The 6,000-nt window shown below is 45.3% G+C and overlaps 1 annotated feature.

Annotated features, from left to right (window-relative positions):
• Positions 1,571–2,770: an enhancer, noted in NCBI's record as "BRD4-independent group 4 enhancer chr8:41013787-41014986 (GRCh37/hg19 assembly coordinates)". NCBI's record gives its function as "activates an origin of replication core promoter dependent on BRD2, P300/CBP, MED14 and CDK7 cofactors, and independent of BRD4, by STARR-seq in HCT116 cells {active_cell/tissue: HCT116}" and the evidence as "EXISTENCE:reporter gene assay evidence [ECO:0000049][PMID:35650434]".

Consider the following 6,000-nt stretch of genomic DNA (forward strand, 5'->3'; position numbering starts at 1 on the left):
CTGTATCAGAGGCTCAAAATGAGTAATAACCATGGGTGGACTGAATCTAAAATTACCCTGGTTTGAGTTTTGTTCAGTCCAAGAGGAAATGATTGTAACACTTTCCATCAGGACATAGAATTGAAATTACTGCTCCCTCTTTCAAATTTCAAACCACCCACAGAATCGGTTCCAGGTTTAGCAGGGGAAGGAGAGAGGCAGGACAGCAATAATCTGGATCTAATGCAGGTTTTATCTTCGCAGAAAGAATAAACTTTTCTCTTACAGTGCCTTTCATTTAAAGTGGTCTTAAGATCTGATGAGAATCCAGGTCATCATAGAACCTCTTCTGTACTCAAGAAAAAGGAGAGGCAGGAATCTCACCATCCTCCAGCTGACATGTGAGGACCCAGCTGCAAATTGCCCAGAAGGACTGGGGCATGGGGAGAAAGGCTTGGTGACAAGAAGAACATTTAGAAGCACAGTTCTCAGAGGGGCTACCTTCCCAGGCTCTGCCCCTCAGACTTTCAGAGTTAGGCAAGTTCCGTTTTCCAATATTATAGAACCTTAAAATTTTCTCACTGATTCCAGGGCTCCTCAACACCCTGGAGAAGCCCCATGACACAAATCTGTGTCTTTGGGGATCAGAGATATTACCAGGTTTCCCAGAAGTCAAGATGGATCTCAAGACCGGGCACAGTGGCTCTCCCCTGTAATCCCAGCACTTTGAGAGGATGGATCACCCAGGCGGGTGGATCACTTAAGTTCAGGAGTTCAAGACCAGCCCGTCTCTATTAAAAATACAAAAATTAGCCAGGTGTGGTGTTGCACGCCTGTAGTCCCAACTACTAGGGAGCCTGAAGCAGGAGAATTGGTTGAACCCAGGAGGCGGAGGTTACAGTGAGCAGAGATTGCGCCACTGCACTCCAGCCTGGGCGACAGAGCGAGACTCCATTTTCAAAAAAAAGAAAGATGGATCTCAAGACATACAAGCAAATTCCACAATGAGCTTTCCTGCCTATACCCCCGCCTCTACCACAAACATTTTACAGGTGAAGCCAGACTAAAATTTAGTTTTAAATTGGCTGCCTTAAAGAAGAAACACTTTCCAAACGGAAAGTCCAACTATGTTATGTTTGGGGGAATCACAGATGAAGACGAGAAGTGGTCTTCCACGTGTGTGTCATGGGACGACAGCCGGGGAGGGGTTATGGGCTGACTGGATGTGAATTTTAAGCCTTTGGAGGAACTTGTAAACAGTATGAATTTAGTCCATAACTCTTGGGCACAAGAAACAACCCATTTCTTTGTTTCTCTAAATGAGCTTAAACCTGGCTCAGCCTCTTAAGTCACTTTTAATTCCTTTCAGGTCATAAAAAACATCCTGGGGTTTACGCAATCCAGGAAACTTGGGGAAGGGCCGCCTTTCTTCAGTGCCTTGTACTCATTACTTTGATGCTCAATGGGAAGACTCTGCGGCTTCAAATATCCTTCTTCCAAGCCAGGAAGGGAGGTAGTGTTCCTGTTCAAGCCACAGACATCTCCACACTCATCCTACCCAAGGTCCTGCAACCTCCAGCCCACTGTAGGGAGGCAGAGTACACGCAGGTCTCCACTCACAAAGAGCCTGGCACCACTTCAGCCTCCTGTGCAGGCATCTCACTCTTTCTCAGGATGGACCTCCCTTCTCCTTCAACCTGAAAGTCCTCCAGCTCTTGGATAAACCAGCTCCTCCCCAAAACAAGCCTATACTTGTTTCTCCCCTGGGGCGAGGGAAGTCCAGCTCTCGGAACACAGAGCCCTGGCTGTCCTTGAGAGGAGGTGAGAAATGCTGCTCATTCCTTCAGAAGGCTTAAAGCTTGGAAAACAAGAGAGAATGAATTCCTTAGTCAGGCTCTACTGTATGAGGGAGCCCACTCAGCCAACCCTCACCCCCACCAGTGATTTTGTAGCTGGACCAGACCAATCTGGTTCAACTTTTATGTAACAAAGTTGTGAGTTGTTGTTTTTCAGTTGCCATGGACCCTAACCTGAGCATGCCCAGTTGAACCAAGCAGGCAGCCATCCGGGGAACCTAAGTGCTGGGGTTGAGGAGTGGGGACTGAATTAAGGAGTGAATCCAACATGGCAGGATCCAGGATCCAATCAGATTGAGCTCTGGTGTCACCCCATGGCAGGATCCAGTCAGATCCCGCCTCCTGGCATCACCTCATTGCAAGATCCAATCAGATCACACCTCATTACCCTATGCTTATAAAACCTGACCCAGCCCCCAACTCAGAGAGACACTGCTTTGGGAACGATACCTGGTGTTCTCCTTACTTGTTACAAGTGATAACATCCCTTGCTAAATCTTCCTTGGTTGTGGTCATTGGGTTGACACCCACCAAGCAACTGAACACATCTGTTGTGTGGATGATAATTTCCCAGACTCCTGTGTAATGATCAGGGAGGAGGAAGCCCAGGATCCAGGCTCTATTCTCTTTCCTAGATTCTCTGCATAAAGATTCCTTGGTGGGTTCCTGACCAAGTGGGGCTGATCAGGCCCCCTCTCCCAAGTTCTGTGCGCTGCTGTGAACCTGTTGACTTAAAGGAGGCACCTTTTGCTAATTCATGCAAAGTCACCGCATGGCCTGGGGGTGGCCTTATACCTATAAATCTGCATGCCCCTCAGGTATCAGGACAACTTGGAAACACCACTCAGTGTCCTGTGAGGTTCACATTTAGCCTAGGAGTACCATGAGGAAAGGAGAAAATGGGAAGTGCCCTGCCAACACCGGGAACCATTGCCCAGCCATGTGACAGGGTGGAAGATCACCCAGCATGCTTGAGGGATGTGACCCAGCTCAGCTTACCCCTGTGGTAGGTCATGCCAGGCCAAAGCAGAAAAATTCTTCCTTGGGACAGGCTCTTCCTGGAAACCCTCTCCTCCAGCTGGGGAAACATGCTCAGCCTACTGGAAAAAAATGCAACAGGAATTGGGAAATATGGATTGTTATTCCTTTAAATCACCTTGGGAAAATGATTTATCTTCTCTGGTCCTCAGTTTCCCCATCACCAGGATACCAGATCCTGCATAGGGTGGTTAGGGGATCACATTAAATCAGAGGATAAAACTGATAGAAAAAGTACAAAGAACTCCACAAATATAAAATAGGACTCGGAGTACTGCCATATTCAGGGGACCTTTCCTTCTCTTCTAAATCAAATCTGTCCTTTTGTATCAGACCCTGAGCAAACATAGAGTATAGGAGTCCATAAGGAAGTCAGGACATCATAGAAACATTTTTTGATACAGAACCAAATGTCTCCTATGTCAGAAGAAGGCCACATGACCTTCCTCACTCTTTCCAAACTCCCAACCACAGTTTCCAGGAGCTGGAAAAGAATTTGCCTACCCTAGTTTGGGTCAGGTGATGTCCCACCCCTCTAAGCCATGCAGAGAGAGCAGCCCACCAGGGACTGATTCTCTCGAAACCTTCATCTCTTCCTAGTCACATCCAGCCACGTGCCCAGCTCTGGGGAAGAAAAGGGATGGGGGTGGCATTGGCACAAGAGGTCTGGAGGCAGGAGGAGGGGACAGTGAACCCTCAGTCCCCTTGCCAGAGCAGACTTGGACCCTAAAAATAGTTTCATGATGTCAACCAGAACAAAGCCTTCTTTGGCTCCAGGAGTAAAACTTCTCAGTCTGGAATTCAACCGAAGGCTTTGTTACAAATACTTTACATGACAGAACCTATTAATATCTCCAGCTAATTGCTCCCAGTTTTGTAATCTCTGTGGCAAAAATTCCAGCCAGGTCAATAAAGGGGAGTGGATTTGTTGATCGGGGGCCTCCCAAGTTCCTATATAAACTAAGTCACGTTGGCATTTTATCCACCTGAGAAGCCCCTTGCTGTGACTTGATCTTAAGTCTCCGTTCCCTCAGCACCCTAATGGATTCTCCAGGCTTATCATGTTAGGGTGTGACAAGAGCGAATTAAAGAGAGGACACAGAGAGAAATGCATTTTACCAAGGCTTAAAATGAGGCAGAATCTCAGCAAGCATGTTTTGGCGAGTTTGCTTTTGGCTGGATGCAAGAAGGAGCTGCTGAAAGCTCTAACCTTGTGTTTTATAAATCGGATCAATCAAAATCTCCCCTCTAGCTTGTATTAGTGAAGCTCCAGGCTCCCCTCGCTCCCCGGGTAGGAGTGCTAGTCAGGCTCTCTGTTCCCCTGTAAGAAGACCCAAGATTCTCCTGAGCAGAAATGATAGAAATTGAGAATTCAAAAATTAGTGGCAACAGTGCTTTTTCTATGGCTGTGGCCCAAGAGAAGACTGCAGAGAGAAAATAGCTTCAAACTGTATTTAAATGTAAACACATTATCAAAATAAATATAAGTCATTTTTTCCATGTACCACAGAAGGAGCTAGGTGACTGGGAATCATTTAATGCCTGTTTCCCCAGCAATCATGTGAAACAGCTCAGATCAGTGAAGGCAAATCACATTAAAATGTAGTAGTATTCCCAAACTCGACGGGGAACCAGACCATTCCCACCCATACACAGACTCAGTGGCAAGTTACATACACAAAGAGCAGAGTAAATACTCAACCTGGCCAAGAAGTGTTCTTTAAATTGAGTTGGAAATTCTCCCAGACCGTATTTCCTAATGCTTTTTACTTGGTTTCTCTTTTAACTAACGTATCTTTCATGATTTAATTTGCTCATCTATCAAGAAGGTTTCTAAAAGTTCTATCTTATTTTATTTTACTTTTTTGAGGCAGGGTCTCATTTTGCTGACCAGGCTGGAGGACAGTGGCACAAACATGACTCACTGCAGCCTTAACCTCCAGGGCTCAAGCAATCTTCCTGCCTCAGCCTCCCAAGCAGCTGGGACAACAGGCACAGGCCACCAGGCCTGGCTAATTTTTGTATTTTTTATAGAGATAGGGTTTTGCCATGTTTCCCAGGCTAGTCTGAAATTCCTGGGCTCAAGAGATCCACCCACCTCGGCCTCCCAAAGTGCTGGGATTACAGGAGTGAGCCACTGTACCTGTCAGTTTTCTCTTATTTTAAGTTGACAAATAATCATACATATTTATGGGGTGCAATGTGATTTTTGATGCATATATACGTTGTGGAAAGATCAAATAAGGCTAATTAACATATCTATCACCTTAAATAAGTATCTTTTTTGTTGTAAAGACATTTAAAATCTATTCTTTAAGTATTTTAAAATGTACAGTATGTTATTATTAACCATCGTCACCATGCTGTATAATAGGTCAGCAGAACATATGTCTCCTGTCTAACTAAACCTTTGTACCCACTGACCAACACTTCCCCTTTTCCCATCTACACCACCCTTCCTTACTCACATCCCCCAGCCTCTGGCAGCCTCTGGTAACCACCATTCTACTCTTCTATAAATCTGACGACTATTTTAGATTCCACATATAAGTGAGATCATGCAGTATTTGTCTCCCTGTGTCTGGCCTACTTCACTTAGCATAATGTCTTCTGGGTCCATCCATGTTGTTGCAAATGATAGAATGTTCTGCTTTCTAAAGGCTCATCCAGAAGTTTTTGAGAGACTATTATATTCCAGCTTCTATGCCAGGTACTTGGGATTCAATGAGTTGCAAAACTCATTGAATAATAATAATAACAATAATTCCTGCCCTGGTGGTGCTTACAGTCTGTGGGATTAGTGCCCTTACAAAAGAAGCCCAAGGAAGCTCGTTTGAGTCTTCCACCATGTGAGGACACAAGAAGATGCCATCATTGAGAAGGCTGGTCTCACCAGACATCGAGTCTGCCATTGCCTTGATCTTGGACTTCCCAGCCTCCAGAACTGTAAAAAATACATTTCTGTTGTTTATAAGCCACCCAGTATGATATTTTGTTACAGCAGCCAGAACAGACTAAGAGGTTGGAAAGGAGGACACGGCAGATCCTCAGGGAGTCCCAGGAGACTTGGAATTGGTGCGTGGTACTTTATTTTGTTTGAGGGTTTGACTTTTTATGTTATTTTGGA

The sequence above is a fragment of the Homo sapiens genome, chromosome 8 (genome assembly GCF_000001405.40).
Source record: "Homo sapiens chromosome 8, GRCh38.p14 Primary Assembly".
In the NCBI taxonomy this organism is placed as follows: Eukaryota; Metazoa; Chordata; class Mammalia; order Primates; family Hominidae; genus Homo; species Homo sapiens.